General features: G+C 45.6%; 1 protein-coding gene across 6 annotated transcripts in view, besides 3 other annotated features; it reads left to right on the top strand.

The window, feature by feature from the left end:
• Positions 1–17,273, top strand: part of MSN (moesin) — a 153,555-nt gene that overhangs the window by 106,886 nt on the left and 29,396 nt on the right. The window contains exons 1-2 of one of the 6 annotated variants that reach the window (XM_047442131.1): positions 1,666–1,817; positions 2,478–6,379. The exons of 3 other annotated variants lie outside the window; for them this stretch is intronic. In XM_047442131.1, coding sequence (XP_047298087.1) covers positions 6,377–6,379 — 3 coding nt within the window. In that variant the 5' untranslated portion in view covers positions 1,666–1,817; positions 2,478–6,376. Of the gene's footprint in view, positions 1–1,665; positions 6,380–17,273 lie in introns of those variants that run through there. 2 more of the 6 variants (XM_047442130.1, XM_047442129.1) reach the window with 2 other exon arrangements.
• Positions 3,137–3,366: an enhancer, noted in NCBI's record as "active region_29715". NCBI's record gives its function as "activates an Ori minimal core promoter by ATAC-STARR-seq in GM12878 lymphoblastoid cells {active_cell/tissue: GM12878}" and the evidence as "EXISTENCE:reporter gene assay evidence [ECO:0000049][PMID:35858748]".
• Positions 8,893–9,065: a silencer, noted in NCBI's record as "fragment chrX:64924017-64924189 (GRCh37/hg19 assembly coordinates)". NCBI's record gives its function as "represses an EF-1alpha promoter that drives an FKBP-Casp9 reporter gene in an ReSE screen in K562 erythroleukemia cells {active_cell/tissue: K562}" and the evidence as "EXISTENCE:reporter gene assay evidence [ECO:0000049][PMID:32094911]".
• Positions 11,324–11,383: an enhancer, noted in NCBI's record as "active region_29716". NCBI's record gives its function as "activates an Ori minimal core promoter by ATAC-STARR-seq in GM12878 lymphoblastoid cells {active_cell/tissue: GM12878}" and the evidence as "EXISTENCE:reporter gene assay evidence [ECO:0000049][PMID:35858748]".

Raw genomic sequence — 17,273 nt, forward strand, 5'->3', positions numbered from 1 at the left:
GGCTGAGGTGGGTGGATAACCTGAGGTCAGGAGTTCGAGACCAGCCTGATCAACATGGTGAAACCCCGTCTCTACTAAAAATACAAAATTAGCCATGCGTGGTGGCACATGCCTGTGATCCCAGCTACTTGGGTTGCTGAGGCATGAGAATAGCTTGAACCTGGGAGGTGGAAGTTGCAGTTAGCCGAGATCATGAGATCGTGCCATTGCACTCCAGGCTGGGCTACAAGACAAAACTCTGTCTCAAAAAAAAAAAAAAAAAAAAAAAAAAACAAAGAAAGAAAGTATGTTGTCATGGGCTCCCTCAAGTCCTGAAGAGTGATTCCTCTGAGGTCTGTGTGAGCTAGGGTGGGGAGTGCTCATTAAGCTAAGCTGGTGCCTCAGTGGGGCTGTGGGAACATAATCAGCTTCTTATCTTTATTTTATACATTAGTCTATCTTGCCTGGCTTTGTCTTCAGGGATTTCTGTCTCTGATTGTGGCCCATCTCCCCCAAATCTATGAGCTGGCACCTAATGCCAAAGTGGTGGGAAGATCTTTAATTCATTTTCTTCTGATAAATTCTGGGAAGAGGGTCAGGAAGCTGGGAAAGGAGACACTGATATTTAACTTCATGCCTTTGAGAGAAAGGCATACTTTGTGTTTCTTACCTCTGTATCCCTGTACATGCTGTCTCTCTACCCAGAATACCATGAGGTTCCTTTTCCCTTTAATCTTTTTCTTGTGACAGTCTCCTTTGTCCTTCAGGAGAGGTCAGCTCTATCTCAAGCAACCTTCTGCCTTCTCACCTCCCCTTGTCTCCTCACCTTCCCCATTATGGCCTGGATGCCTCTTGCTTGTGTTTCCACAGTCCACTTTAATTACCTCTATCTCTGCCCTTGCTGTATAGAATGGTAATTTCTCATCCATTTATCTGCATATTTCCTCCATCTGACAAAAAAATGCCCTCACGTGCTTGCTCATTCACACACACACACACACACACACACACGAATTATTTCAAAGCCTGATCCGATCCATATTGGGTGTCTGATAAAGTGGTGGTATGTAGAACCTGTATGTGTATACATATGTCTGTGTCAATGATGTGGGTTCTTTCTGAAACACCTGAGGTAGGTAAGAGGTAGCCTTACTTGTTTTTCCAGATCTTGCTAGAATAGTAGATTTTTAGGGTTTGCTTTGGATTATGGAACAATGTATGTTGCCTTGACCATTAGGGAGGCTTCTGGGTAATTTCCATAGAGATTCTGGTTGGCCTCTTTACTGTTGTCTGAAAAAACTAGACCAAACATTCGGGGCTGGGGGTAGGATTCTTATTCTCTCCAAAGAACTGATATGAATATGTGTGTGGGGGGCTAGATAGGTTCATGCTCGCTCACCTCAGCATTGAGGGGTGTGAAGGTTATATGTTTGTGGTGGTAGGGGTGCTAAAAACCCTTGTATTATTGCAGGATAGGTTAAATAGTTTTTACTAGTCTCAGTAAATTGTTAGCTGAGCTTGTGGTTTGGAGGGAAAGATGTGGCTTTATCAACTCGAAAAAACAAAGCCAGCTTTTAGAGAAGTTACCTCAAGCTACATAGGGACCAAAACTAATAAGCTGGATGCCATGTGGTCTCTTATCTTATCCTTGCCACCAAGAGACTCTTCCAAAACAATCATAGATCCATACAGCCCAAGAGCATTCTTTGGGCTCTCTGAACCTCTGCTTCCAGGAAGGCGGTCATACAAAAATGAAGGCTGTGAGCTAATGGCTGTAAACAAATACACTTGCAGCAGGTTATGAGGCCACCTTTCAACCTTCAGCACATCCACTGGAGGTAGGTATTTTTGAGACTACTCTCAAAAAATTTTTTCTTAAGGCCTACGTGATAAACCTTGTTCCCTAATGGGGATGAGAATTGGATTAGGCTGTAAGATTAGCCTAGGGGAACAGCAGGCTGGGTGGGGGGTTGGGGACATCCTGCTTAGGGGTAGCCAGCCAAAGTCCCCCATACAAGCCCAACCAAGGATCATGCCACATTGAAGGTCTGCACAGTAGTGAGGCAGTGCTGTGGAATGACATCTGCCTTCCAACTTCTTACGTGAGTAAGGAGGCTCTCCCTGAATATTCAGATGGATGTTCAGCCACATTCTTTGCTATATTTATAGGGTGGGGAGGGAAGACAAGGGGGAGCCAGGGAGTCCGAGCTGTTTAGAGAGGAGAGAAGGAAGTTTCAACAATGGGTAGGTTCAGGCTGTGGTTCCTCCTCACTGCCCCTTCCTCTTTGAGTTTGTCAGGGGACCTTCCTATGGCCTGAGATCATTTTCTTTTTCAAAGTGGCCAAAGCCACTGTAGGCACATTTAAATCAGGGTGCTTTAGCAGAAATACCAATGCTGGCATCTAAAACCCATGTGTAGTGAGACTTGATTGACATTTGGGACCTTTTTAAAACTGTAATTTTATTGTATTTTTGCATTTCCTGGTTTGTTAATCAAGGAAGAACATTGGCATGTCATCTTCCAGTCTCCAAATGTAAGTTAAATTGTCAATTTGTGTTTTTCCAGAAAATTTCTTTTTCCAGAAGTGCTTTGAATCATGATCATCTATCTGTAGGCATGGATCCTCCAATTTAGAAGTTGCTCCTAGTGTTACCTAGTTACCCTTCCTGTTCCATTCTGTGAAACTGGGAGATTTACTGTAGATTATTCAGTCTGGTCAGACAGAAAACTGCAGCTCCCTCCCCAGTCAACCAAAGCCTCCTCTATGGAGGGGAGGTATGGTAATGACATTATCTTTCCTTAGGCAGCCGCGTGTTCTCTGAGAACAGGATGTGGGGAGGGCTGGGCCCCAGTCACAGGGTATGGGGGTGGGCACCGGAAAATGGGCTGGTGGTAAGGCCATGAGGATTAGTGCTTGCCTTCTTGGCTTTGAGAGGCATGAAGAGCTCCTGTATTCTTGATTGTTCACTCATGTGTACACCCCACCCTCGCACATGGCATGTCTGTGTTCTTACCCTAAGAAAGACTGTACCTGAGAAACACCTTGTGTAAGAGCCCCAGCTGTTTGGCTTGCAGAAACTCAGTGAGGTGGAGTGAGTGGGCCCAGGCTGCTCACTGTACCAACCCATGCCTTGTGATTCTTTATGACAGCCTGTGGCTTCAGGCCACTTTTGCTAAGCTTTATTGGGGAGCTGGGCCCCAGTAGATAATGGGCAGCTTTGCTGCTCTTTCTCAGGGCCCCAGTTGTTTCCCTCCCCACAAATGGCTCCTTAGCTGAGGTGATTTGCATGTTCAACTTCCTTTCAGGCCCCATCCTTCTCTTCTCCCTGCCCCCCACTGCTTCTGCTGGGGACCTGTGGTGATGTTCTGCCTGGGGTGGGGAAAAGAGGATGTAGCTAGCTTCCTGTGCAAAAGAGGGTGGGGCGCCGGCCTTCCTGCCTGTCTGCCCACCCACCCAGTGCTTGAGGAATTGCCTGAAGAGTTCAGTTCAGAGTCACCAGAGCCTGAAGGGCTTTCTTCAGAGTAGAGATTGACCTTTGCTCATGCTGGTCTCTCTCCACAGTTTTCTACTGTGGGAATAGCTGGACACTTTTTTCCTGAAATCGCAATGCTGAAAGGACCTTTAGAGGCCAACTAGACCAACCACTTCACATTACAGATGGGGAAACTGAAGCCCAGAAAGTCATATAAGTCCTATAAGGAATCAGTGGCAAAGCTAGGATGAGTAGAATTCTAGAAGGTCAGACCTAGGGCTCTCTCCCTCCCGTCAAGCTGCTAATCCAGTGGGTTACAAACTGTTTGGCTGGGCTACCTGGTGAGCTACAGCCTCCCTTCAACCAGAACAGCTCTACTTTTACGTACTTCATATTTTGAAGTTTTGTGTGATTTTCTGTTTGGGAGATTGAGGAGGCAGGAAGCTGTTAGAAATGTAATAAAGTCAAAACCACTGAGCAAAACCCAGCCATTACAGTTGGGAACACTCAGACCTACAGGGGGAAGTAAATATCCGAAGTTTACTGGGATTGGACTCAGAGACCCAATCTCTGAACCACCATTCATGGCTGGTTGCTCCGAGCTAAAGATGTGGCTCCTTCTACCACAAGGGCTGTTCCCACCCTGTGTTACCAATGCTATTCTCCTTTCCCAAAGACAGCCTCTTTTGTAGCATCCTAAGACAGACCTGAAGTCCAGAGGCTGCTCAATTTCTTGGATGAAACAAATGATAAGCCAGGAGCGGTGGCTCACGCCTGTAATCCCAGCACTTTGGGAGGCCGAGGCGGGTGGATCACGAGGTCGGGAGATCGAGACCATCCTGGCTAACACAGTGAAACACCGTCTCTACTAAAAATAAAAAAAAATAGCTGGGTGTGGTGGTGGGCGCCTGTAGTCCCAGCTACTCGGAAGGCTGAGGCAGGAGAATGGCGTGAACCCAGGAGGCGGAGCTTGCAGTGAGCCGAGATGGTGCCACTGCACTCCAGCCTGGGCAACAGAGCGAGAATCTGTTTCAAAAAAAAAAAAAAAAAAAAAAGACAAATGATAATAGGCAAGCCTTTGGAAGGACCTTTGTGTAGCCTTAAATAAGATAAACTTGGAAAGGTAAAGAACAGAATACTAGTAGTTGGGGAGATCAGGGTTCTAGTTCTATTTCTTTCACACTTGAGCATGTTGCTTTTTACCTTACTGAACCTCCATTTCTCCCTTCTTTAAAATGGTACTTGTCTCGGGCTTGTCTTTTTCTTACAGGGTTTAATTCAGTGAGAGAATGCATATGGGCAAGTATCTTTTAAATTGTAGAGCACTGTGCGCATGGGGCTAGGATTATTGTTGTATACAAGTGAGCCAGAGACCCTGGAAGAATCTGGGTTGGATAATGGCATTGCAGGAGAAAGGAACTAAAATTTATGAAACATCTACTACATGCCAGGTACCAAGCCAGGTGCTTTTCTGTTTGTAAAGGATAAAATGTCAGCCTTGCAACACTCCGGTGAGGTAGGCATTATTACTCCCATTTTACCTGTAGGAAAACTGAGGCTTTAAGAGGTCTAGGGACTTGTAATGTTCCAGAGACTACCTCTAGAGCCCAGGGTTTCTGTCAGGTATTTGTGAAGAGATCTTAAGAATGTCCTATGGTTTCTATTGGGGTTTTCTAGCCCACTCCCTGCCTCACTCCAGCCTCTCTCCTCTGGTGGGGATGAGACTGTCTCTTGTTGGCTTCATGTCTCAGTCCTGAACTCTTTATCCTCAGATTTCCTTGGAGTGCACTGGGCACAATTAGGTGCCCTTGTTTGGCCTTTAGCTGATGGGGAGCCCTTTGGGTCAGCCACCTTTTGGCTGATAGTAAGGATGTCCTGCTACCCTGGGGTGCTGGTAAGGAGAGCCAGGGATTTATAGCTAGCCAGACAGACTTGGCTCTTGGTCAAGGTCATGCAGCTAGAAAATAGCAGTTGGTTCCTTTCTTTGAGACTCAGTTTCCTCATTCATAAAATGGGTTTAATAATGCTTAACTTGCATGTGTCTCTTGTCCAGTGTGCTGGTAAATGTTTAACAATCAACTCTTCGGCAAATCCATGATTTTTACTGTTTGCCAATTCCCATGGTATAAATACTCCCACCATGGCTGATTTCAGGTTACCAATATGCAGTCCTTGATGGAGGAGTTGGGAAGAGATGTGCATGATCAGCTCTAGTGCAAGCTGGTTCTAGTGCACCATTGCTAGTCACACCTATTTTAGACTCCTACCCTCACCCTCCAACATACTCACATCTGTATGCAAATGCAGCATCCTCTCAACCATGCCTCTTCTTTTCCTCAAGTTCCAAGAGCATCAAGGAAAGAGAGAGCTTCATTTAAGGTCTGCTCCTTGCCTGAAAGTTCTTCCAGGAAAGAGTGAATGTGGAGTGTTTAAGACGCAGAGAACTCAAGAGGGCTTTGAGTGGGGCCCTAATTATAGCATTGTGATCATCATGCTTTGGCTGCTGAAGTATCTGAACTGTCTGTTTTCTCCCACTGTTTGATTCTTAGCTAGATGGGAGGATGGTTGAAGATCCTGGACAATGGTCTGAGGGTCTGGTGCACTTAGCGTTCTGATTGTAATTTCAAAGTCTCCTCCTCTTCCTGCCTGCAGACCTTACTTTGCTGGGTGCTAACCTCAAGGTTCCTGTCATGGGGATCTCTGGGCCAGAAAGCATTTTGGATGACCAGAGATCCCTGGTCCTGTTCTCTCATTTCAACAGCATCAAGGCCATGTGTTGTTTCTTTGAACTTTTCAGATGGAAAGAATCACCTGAGGCATTTGTTAAAATGCTAATTCCCCAGCGTCTTCTCTGGAGAGTCCATTTCAGTAAGCTTGGGGTGGTGTCCAGAAGTCTGGACTTTTTGACCAGTGCCAAATTCTTATGGTAAGCTAAGTTTGGGATATACCTCATTAAGCACTGCACAACACTCCTGCCATGGTGGCATCATTATGCCCACGTTACAAGTTGAAATTTAAGAGTTCATGGTTTATTATTGGTAGACCTGGATCTTGAGATCAGGTTTTCAGAATACAAAGCTATGTTCCTCTTACTACAGAGACATTACTTTAGTGCACAGTGGTGTATGTGATGGTGTGTAGTGATGATTTTAGGTAGGGAGGAGCAGGGATAATCCCTGCACTACTTTACAAATAGGGAGGCCAAGGTGCAGAGGGATTTGAGGGCAGTAGCAGAACTGACTGCATCCTTGCATCCTTGATCTTTTGTGGATGTGGACCGTATTCAATTGGCTTTTTTTTTTTTTTTTGAGACGGAGTCTTCCTCTGTCGCCTGTCGCCCATGCTGCAGGACAGTGGTGCAATCTCGGCTCACTGCAACCTCTGCCTCCCGGGTTCAAGCGATTCTCCTTCCTCAGCCTCCCAAGTAGCTGGGACTACAAGAATGCACCGCTACACCTGGCTAATTTTTGTATTTTTAGTAGAGACGGGGTTTCACCATGTTGGCCAGGCTGGTCTTGAACTCCTGGCCTCAAGTGATCTGCCCGCCTTGGCCTCCCAAAGTGTTGGGATTACAGGCGTGAGCCACCGCACCCGGCCTTTCAGTTGCTCTTTACTTGCTGTGTTTCCCTTCTATCAGACATCCCTCTAGTCATATTAACACCATCCCAGGCCAGGCGTGGTGGCTCACGCCTGTAATCGCAGCACTTTGGGAGGCAAAGGCGGTCGAATCACTTAAGGCCAGGAGTTCAAGACCAGCCTGGACAACAGGGTGAAACCCCTTCTCTACTAAAAATACAAAAATTAGCCAGACATAGTGGTGGGTGCCTGTAATTGCAGCTACTTGGGAGGCTGAAGCAGGGGAATTGCTTGAACCCGGGAGACGGGGGTTGCAGTGAGCCAAGATCACGCCATTGCACTCCAGCCTGGGTGACAGAGTGAGACTCTGTCTAAAACAAAACAAAACAAAACAAAACAAAAACAGTTTGTGATCTTCTGGATACCATCTGAGGGAGTTTGGAGGTCCCAGTGGGTTGTGTTGAGGGTTGCAGACTTGTGTGTGTTAATGGGACATAACTGGAGAAAATGGCAAGGCAGAGTCCAGAATAAGGAAGGAAGATCAGGCAGCCTTTGAAAATAATAAGGCAGCATAGGTGCTGTGTTGTGCTCTGCCTTTCCATAGGATTCTGCTTCTTGGGGAGGAAATCCCCATCTCTCTCAAGAGATAAAATATTTAAAATAATGCTGGAATACATGTGTATTTAACTGTTGTGCATGGTTTCACATTGTCTTGCCAACTAGAAATGTAATCACCTTTTAGTTTTCCCTGAAAGTGAGAGTCCTTTATGCTAGAAGGGCTCTTTAGAGGTCTTCTTGGGCAGCCCCTAGCCCTCTGTAGTGAAACAGGTTTTTGTTTTAAATTATTCCTGACAGGTAGGATATTCGTCATAATATGGCTAAAAGGGGAGGGATTAGTAATCATCACATTCTACTTATGATGTGTCAAGTACTTTCATGTCTATTATTATTATTATTTTTATTTTTATTACTGTTCAATTATTTTCTTCCTCCAGTGTCAAACATGTCTGTTATGTTAACTTAAATCTCCCAATAACCCTGTACTGAGGTCGATATTATTAGACCCGTTTTATAGATTAGGAAACTGAATTTTAGAAAGAGGAAGGTCAAAAAGGCTCCAAAGCTCAAAATGCTGAGACCATTATTTCCAGGACAAGGGCTCCTGGGTTTTCTGTGGGTTTCCCAGATACTAGATTTGGTTCTTAGCTTACCAGCAAGGTAGGTAGGAAGCCAACCTTAGCCTACCCCTGGGGTTGAAAACAGAGGTTTTTTGTTTTTTGTTTTTTTTTGACAGGATCTCTCTCTGTTGCACAGGATAGAGTGCAGTGGCAAGATTTTGGCTCACTGCAACCTCTGCCTCCTGTGTTGAAGCAAGCGATTCTCATGCCTCAGCCTCCTAAGTAAGTATTAGTAGCTGGGACTACAGGCGTGCGCCACCATGCCCAGCTAATTTTTGTACTTTTTGTAGAGACAGAATTTCGCCATTTTGCCCAGGCTGGTCTTTAACTGGGCTCAAGCGGTCTGCTTGCCTCACCCTCCCAAAGTGCTGGGATTACAGGCATGAGCCACCACGCTCAGCTGGAAACAGAGCTTTTTGATTAGGGCCAGAAGCGTCCCCCTGCAACTGCATATTTGACTAATCCTGGCTTCAGCAGTTTTAACATTCCCATGAGCAATAGATGGAACCCAAGTTTGGGTTTGGATCAGCTCCAGTGTGCTTCAGAAGTATGATGCTGGAGGTTGCTGGAGTCTGTTCCTAAGCAGAGGGAATAGAGCCCTCTTCTGGCACCCTGGGCAGAGCTGGCATATTCAGGCAGCCAAAAATGGTCAGTTTCCAGTCTACAAATACTTCCTGTAAAACTTGCTGGCAGGAAGCTGGGTCAAGCAGGAAAGTGACGCTAAAGAGTGAAGCCCAGCTAGGTGTGGCCCCGGATAGGGGCTTTGCCCATCTGGAGACTTACTTTATTAATGATGGGTCTGCACTTCTTTTATTTCAGCAGCTTTGAAGTTTTATGGGAGTTGAAGGAATCTGTTGTTCTTGGCTGCCTGGATATGAACCCATTACTCAAATTCCCTTCCTCTTTCTCTGCTCTGTGCCCTCCTCAATCCCCAGCTTGAGTCTTGGCTATGCCTATTACTGGGGGCCTTCCCAACCAGTTGCTATTCAAGTTTTTCCAAAGAAAACAGTTCTGGAAACAGGGCTCTCTGAGTTCTCCTTCCATGGTGTTATAAAATATTTAGTCTCCCTAGAATGGGTGGTGGTGATTGTCTCAGATCCTGAAAGTTAGGCCTGCCCTCTGTTGAAAGCTAAACTTCCAAGCAGTGCCAGCTTGGAGTTTTTCACGGAAACAAATTGATCCAGCCTCCTCCACATAGTTTTTTTTTTAGATCAATAATAGTATGCTTGAAGTATCTACTGTTTTCTAAATGTCAGGCTGGCACTATGGCTTACTAAATAGGCTAGTGGATCAAAAGCCAGGTTTTTTTTTTTTTTTTGAGATGGAGTCTTGCTCCGTCACCCAGGCTGGAGTGCAGTGGCGCAATCTTGGCTCACTGCAATCTCCGCTTCCCGGGTTCAAGCAATTTTCCTGTCTCAGCCGCCCTAGTAGCTGGGACAACAGGCACACAACACCATGCCTGGCTAATTTTTTGTATTTTTAGGAGAAACAGGATGTCACCATATTGGTCAGGCTGGTCTCGAACTCCTGACCTCAGGTGATCCTCCCACCTTGGCCTCCCAAAGTGCTGGGATTACAAGTGTGAGCCACCGCGCCCAGCCTCAAAAGCCAGGTTTTTAGCCCCTCCTCCCACACTGCCTAGCAGCTGTGTGGCTCTGGGCCAGTGCCTACCTTTCTTTGGACCTCAGTTTCCCCAGCTGTATGTTGCAAGGTTCGAATCGAGTGATCTCTGACGTCTTTTTCAGGTCTGACAGTTTGGGATTCTGGACTGTTTATTTTCTTAGAGGACAAGTTGAAGTTCAGAAGGGAGAAGCCATATGAGATTCTAGGATGCATGGGTTGAAATAATGAGAAAATGTAAAAAGAGGAATGGCCATGCTAAGGAGCTGGTGTGTCAGCCCATGTGCCTAAGAAGGAGAGATGAGTTGGGGCTGGAGAGTATTTGCCCTGGGGGTATGGTTTGGCTAAGGTGATTTTGAAAGTAAGAACTGAAGTTAGGTTCAGACACTAAGCAGATGGTTTTCTTCCTGACTTTCACGTGTGGAGAGAAAAACAAGAGGGGTTTACCTGGGCCTGAGGTTGAACAAAAGGCCATGCAATTACGGCTGGATTAACGAAGAAACTAACTTGCTAAAGTGACATCACTGTTTCTGATTTTTTTCTTTCAATTTTCACCTCTGACCTGAACTCTGCTCCCACAGGGACAAGGTGGTTATATTTCCATTGCTAACCCTCACACATATGGTAATTGGAGGAGTAACTCTCAGTTTCCAGTGTGCCCTTGTCTTCCAGTTGAAATGCTTCTTGAGGAGCTTCGGATGACAGGGCTGGGTCAAAACAAATGAAAGGGGACCCTTGTCTCTGACGCCCTCTGGAGCAGTTGGAGTGGTTGAAGAAATACTGCTAACCCATTAAGGTGTGAGTGAGGTTGGGTGTTGTTCTCCTTTCTAGAAGCTACTGGGAAAAGGCACAGGCATAGGAAAGGTTAACCCCAGTCAGGTTTTATGGGCTGTATTGAGAGTCTGGAAGAGGTCCTAGCAGATAACTGTACCAGTTACCACTTCCAAGTCAACAGGGAAGAGGCTGACTTGCTGAGAAGTGAGTTAGTCAGTGAAGGAAGAGGAGGAGGAGCAGAATGGCCCCTAGGCTAAAGATTCAAAGCAAACCTTGTTTTCCCTCTTATGGAAAAAAGCTAGTTGAGACAGTGCTGTCATCCAGAGAGGCAAAACAGACCAGGACCTGCCCTGCCCTGCCTTGGCCCCACTCTTAGTAGCAGGAAATGGTGGGAACTGGAGCCTAAACAATGGAGTTTAGCTTCCGACCTGATGAAGGCAGTGTGAGTGACGCTGTGATGACTATTCTCTGGCCAAGGAAGATACTAGAACTCTGGGATTGCGTTGGTAGGGCACATCCTTCTTCTGGCTCCCCTGCCCCACTTATACTTGCCTTCTTCTCTACACCAGCAGCCCCACTGAAAGCCCAGCAGGGGTGGCCCCCTGGGGAGGTGGCAGGTGGAAATGAGGTCATTGAGCTCAGACCCAACTGGGCTGACTCACAACCTCTGCCCCAGTGAGACAAGGGGACCTTCCCAAGCAGTGCTTCCCAGATGTGCCCAGGCTTCCTATGCCAGAATGTTTGAGTCTTAGCCAAAATAGTTGCCAAGCCAGTGTCTGAAGACAACATGACAGGAGAGGTGGGTGGAGTTGTGGAAGGAGCTCCAGGAATGTCCAGAAGACCCGCCTCCACTACTTGTTGGCTGAGTAAATGTGACCTCAGTGATGTTAAGTGAGACTGTGTGTGATGAGGCCGACACATTGTTGGCATTCAGTAAGTGTTCATTTCCATCCTTCTGTCACCTGCCTCTATGCACTTCAGTTTTCTCATCTATGAAGTGGGGATGGTAATGTTCATCCCCTCAGCTCGGAGGTCCATGCTCCAGGCAAGTTACTTGTAATTATTTGACTTACTCTCTGCTTTTCTCTCTGACTCTTCCAAACTTCTCTCCAGGAAAGAGCCATCTTATAGTTCAGTGACATGGGGTAGGTGAGGGGAAACCATTGCTAATCCCTTTTGCTGTAGCTGGGCTACAGCTCACCTGGGTGCTTCTGATGATAGGCAAAGAGAGGGTTGCTTATTTGAAACTGGCAGGCCCAGACACCAAAGTACCTCTCAGCTGCTGGTGCCAAGACAGAGGTAGCATCTGGCCTGGTTACTTTTGTGTCTCAGCCCAGCTAACTGGAGACATGAGAGAGAACCCAGTTTGTTGAAGGCTTTGGACAGTGTACCACCGAGATGAGTTTGTTTGTGCTTAGTGAAGTGCTTGGTGTGGGAAGCGTCTATGTTGAATTGCTCAGTAAATAACAGTGGGCTTATTGTTCTTGGGCAACAGGTGGGAGGGCCAGTGCATGTGAGAGGATGACACTCCTCCTTCCCCAAACACACATGCAGACATTTTGTTATTGTTCCTTCAAACCTTAATGTTCTTCTGAGACACAGTCTTTAACCTCATGCTGTGCCTAGATCCTCAGGGCCTGGCTTAGGCAGGGATCTAGGCATATAAACAGTTCTCTTCTGGGGACTACATCTTGAAATGCTACCCCATCCGGGTCAGCTCCTGTATTCCTGTCAAACTGAAGGACTGGCTGGGAATTTTCTGCCAACTTTGGAAACTTCATTTTTAGGTTCTTTCCTCCCAAACAAGACCACTGTCTTCTCTTTAGGGAGAGAGCAGCGTCTAGGCCCGAAAAGAAGACCATGGGTGCCTACTAAGGGTGAGCATCCAGTGGGCCCTCTGTGGCAGTGGGTCTGGGCCTGCAGCCCATCTTGCACTCTTGAATCCCTGATTAATCTAAGAGAGAACAAAGGGACCTTCTTTGATCAGGACTTCTATCCTATCTATCACTTTCAGGCCCCAGCTGTTACTACCCTTACTCCCTGCTACCTCTGACACGTACACAGAAAACAGGAGAGCATAGACCAATGGCCTTGTCCTCATGACTTAGTTTTTTTCTAATTTTTAATTTTAAAATTTTTATTATTTTTTAACTTGATTTTTTTTTTTAAATAGAGATGGTCTTGCTATATTGCCCAGGATGATCTCTAGCTTCTGGCTTCAAGCTGTCCTCCCACCTTGGTCTCCCAAAGTGTTGGGATTTACAGGTGTGAGCTGCTGTACCCAGCCTAATTTTGATTTTTTTAACCTGACACATCATAATAAATGCATACATAAATTGTACATATTTATGGGGTACATAGCAGTGTTTTGATATATACAATATATAGTGATCAGATCAGAGTAATTAGCATACTCACCATCTCAAACATTTATCATTTCTTTTTGTGAGACAGGGTCTCACTATGTTGCCCAGGCTGGAGTGCAGTGGCATGATCTTGGCTCACTGCAACCTCTGCCTCCCAGGTTTAAGCGATTCTCCTGCTTCAGCCTCCCGAGTAGCTGGGATTACAGGTGTGTGCCACCATGCCCAGCTAATTTTTGTATTTTTAGTAGAGATGGGGTTTTGCCATGTTGGCCAAGCTGGTCTTGAACTCCTGACCTCAGGTGATCCGCCCACATTGGCCTCTCAAAGTGCGGGGATTACAGGTGTGAGCCACCGTGCTTGGCGGGGTGTTTAACTTTCTGTGCCTGGCTTATTTCACTTAACATAATGTCCTTCAGGCTCATCCATGTTGCTGCAAATGACAGGATTTTTATTTATTTATTTATTTATTTTGAGACGGAGTCTTGCTCTGTTGCCCAGGCTGGAGTGCAGTGGCATGATCTTGGCTCACTGCAACCTCCGCCTCTCGGGTTCAAGAGATTCTCCTGCCTCAGCCTCCTGAGTAGCTGGGATTACAGGCACACGCCATCACACCTGGCTAATTTTTGTAGTTTTAGTAGAGACGGGGTTTTGCTGTGTTGGCCAGGCTGGTCTTGAACTCCTGACTTCAGGTGATCTGCCCATCTCAGCCACCCAAAGTGTTGGGATTACAGGCATGAGCCACTGTGCCTGGCCAGGATTTCATTTTTTATGGCTGAATAATATTCCATTATGTATATATGCCACATTTTCCTTATCCATTCATCTGGTTTTGGACACTTGGGTTGATTCCATATCTTGGCTATTGTGATGTAGTGATGCAGTAAACACGAGGGTGCAGATATCTCTTGGATATACTGATTTTTTTTCCTTTGGATAAATAAATGGCTAGTAGTGGGATTGCTGGATCATATGGTAGTCCTATTTTTAGTTTTCTGAGAAACCTCCATACTGTTGTCCACAGTGGTTGTACTGGTTTACAGTGCTGCTAACAGGACTCACATTTGCTTCTGAGTTAAGTGGAGACAGGAATGGGAATTCTTTTGTGTTTGTTTTTCTTTCCAACTTTTTAAAAACCCAAAATTATTTATCTCCACATTGAAGTTCAGGAAACCTCAGGCTGCTATCCCTGGGGAAGAAGCCATAGTGGAATGGCAGAAACCCTGAGTAGAGATTCAGAAAAAACAGGTTCTGGTTGGGTTTCAGCTCACACCTTCTGATTTTAGTAGAGCCCTTTTACCAGGGTGATCCTCTACGAGGGAGGAAGCATGGCCAACCCTAGCCTCTCTGACATGCTTATTCATCACTCAGGATGGGCCCTTCTTTACCAATTGATTTATTTAATAAATATTTGTTTAACGAATATTTGATTACGTACTTTGGGCCAGCACTGGGCTTCACCCTTGATCAGTGCCCTGAAGACGCTGGATTGGCATGACCTACAATTGACATGATCTGTTCGAGACACTGGCTTGCTTCCTTTGAAAATTATTTCCAATATTGTGAATTAAAGGGAACTCCTAGGCTTTAGGATATGTCCCTGGAATCCCACCCCCCCTTAGTTTCCTTCCTGGGTGTTTTCTTCCAAAAAGCCTGGTTCTGATTGTGCCCCACCCTGCCCAGAACCTCTAGACTGGCTGGCCACTGCCAACAGGATTAAGGCCCAACCTTCTAGCATAGCCTTCAATGCCCTCCACTTATCTTCCTAGACTCTGCCCTCTCTTCACTTTGCAGGCCTCATTCACCCTGGAGTAGGACTGACTTCTAAAGGGACCATCTGCATCCTTGCCTCCTTCTGGGCCATCATACATGTTGTTTTCTCTACCTGGGACATTTGAGTGCTCTTGTGCCTACCCTCACAGTCTTTCTTTTCCACAATCCAGCTTATTCTTTGGAAATCAGTGCAAACACTACTTTGAACTGTGGTTCCTAATTTCCACGAAAGGTTTTCTCTGTTCTTCTATTATGGCACTTTTCAGGGTCTCCCTTGTACATTTTAGTTTTTGTGTTTTTCAGTAAGTGCCTTGAGATCAGGGACCGGTTCTACTGGTCTGTTCCAACCATAGTTCCTTAAACATTGTGTTCCATTAATATTGGGTGAATTGAAATGAATTTATAGGAAGCTCCTTAACCTGGGGTCCTCAGACCTCTATGGGGTCCATGGACAGAATTTGAAGTGGGAAGGATATATGAACTTGGATGGAGGAAAATTACTTATTTGTTTTTTACCAACCTCTCCTTTGTAATTTAGCCATTTGTTCAATTATAATGTAGGCAAATAAAAATAAAAATAAAAATAAAATAAAGGCAGCAATAATAGCAGTACCCATGACCTTGTTACCAACTCTTAGGCTGTGGAGTGTTTTCCTGGATTCTACCCTTTTTTTAAGGTTTCTTAATAATAGAAGTTTATACAGAAACTATCTAATGTACTTTTTTTTTTAGATGAAGTCTTGCTCTGTCACCCAGGCTGGAGTGCAGTGACGTGATCTCGGCTCACTGCAGCCTCTGCCTCCTGGGTTCAAGCGATTCTCCTGCCTCAGCCTCCAGAGTAGCTGGGACTACAGGCGTGCACCACCATGCCTGGCTAATTTTTGTATTATTATTATTTTTTTGAGATGGAGTTTTGCTCTTTTTGCCCAGGCTGGAGTGCAGTGACGTGATCTTGGCTCACTGCAGCCTCTGCCTCCTGGGTTCAAGCGATTCTCCTGCCTCAGCCTCCAGAGTAGCTGGGACTACAGGCGTGCACCACCATGCCCGGCTAATTTTTGTATTATTATTATTTTTTTGAGATGGAGTTTTGCTCTTTTTGCCCAGGCTGGAGTGCAATGACGCGATGTCAACTTGCTGCAACCTCCGCCTCCCAGGTTCAAGGGATTCTCCGACCTCAGCCTCCCAAGTAGCTGGGATTATAGGCATGCTCCACCACGCCCAGCTAATTTTTTTGTATTTTTAGTAGAGGTGGGGTTTCACCATGTTGGTCAGCTGGTCTTGAACTCCAGACATCAGGTGATCCACCTGCCTCGGCCTCCCAAAGTGCTGGGATTACAGGCGTGAGCCACCGCGCCTGGCCTAATTTTTGTATTTTTAGTAGAGATGGGGTTTCACCATGTTGGCCAGGCTGGTCTCGAACTCCTGACCTCAAGTAATTCGCCCGCCTTGGCCTCCCAAAGTGCTGGGATTACAGGCGTGAGACACCATACCCGGCCCCTAACATACATATTTTTATATCACAATTAGTTATTGTATATTTCTCAAAATATTATTTATGCTCAATACACGTTTGAAATTACAGTGGCAATAACTAACTAATAAGACCTAGTGCTCGGTAATTACTTAATATGATAATAAGCACATATTATTAAATTTTGATTTATATTTCAAATATTTCGATATAATTTTGTTATATTGTATCTACTTTATTTCATGCATTTACAAATATTCTAAGAAGGGGTCCATAGGCTTCACTAGACAGGCAAGAATGATTCGTGGCACAAAAAAGTCAAGATGTCAAATTTCCCCATCTTTGTATGTGTATATTATGCTGTATCTATCTCCAATATCCCTTGTTTGGTACCCATTCATTTAGCCAACATCTTGCATGAGTACCCATTGAATCTTGAGTACTGGAAAGGTAATTCTAAGTAAGACGTAAACTTTGAGTTGAGAATGAAGTCTATTATTCTAAAAAGCCCACTGCCCCCTTTCTATTCTCTCCTGTCCCTTCAGTCATTGGTGTTTTGAGGTCACCCTTGACCCAGCTCAAGGGTGATTTGAGGCTGGATATAGTATGGTGCCCCTCAAATTCCAGTCCAATGGCCCCATCCTACTTTATGACGGCCCATTCTGTAGGGGTCACTGACTTGGCAGGAAGCCTAGGGTAGGACCAAATCAAAGTGGCTAACCTTGCCTTACTCCCACTGGGGTACTTGCCTTACTTGTTCCTGCCTTCAGGGCCTTTCCTGTCCCATTGTCAATCCTAAAATAGATTTCCTCCTTGGCTCCCTAGCGAGATTTATTTACAAAGTTGTTTTCTGGGCCTGATCCTCATCGTAATTGTTTATCTGGCAAAATAGCTGCCTGGCCCCCTCTTCCCTGCTCCTGACCCGTGTGTTCAGGAAAGTCCTAGAGGTTCAAAGACTGATAAGGTTTAATGTCTTACTCACTCCATGGAAATTTGCATCTTTGGCAATACTATATCTAGTGCTTTCCCTCAATACTATAAGCAGTATGTGACCAACTTAGAAAA

This window comes from Homo sapiens, chromosome X (genome assembly GCF_000001405.40).
Source record: "Homo sapiens chromosome X, GRCh38.p14 Primary Assembly".
NCBI classification, from domain to species: Eukaryota; Metazoa; Chordata; class Mammalia; order Primates; family Hominidae; genus Homo; species Homo sapiens.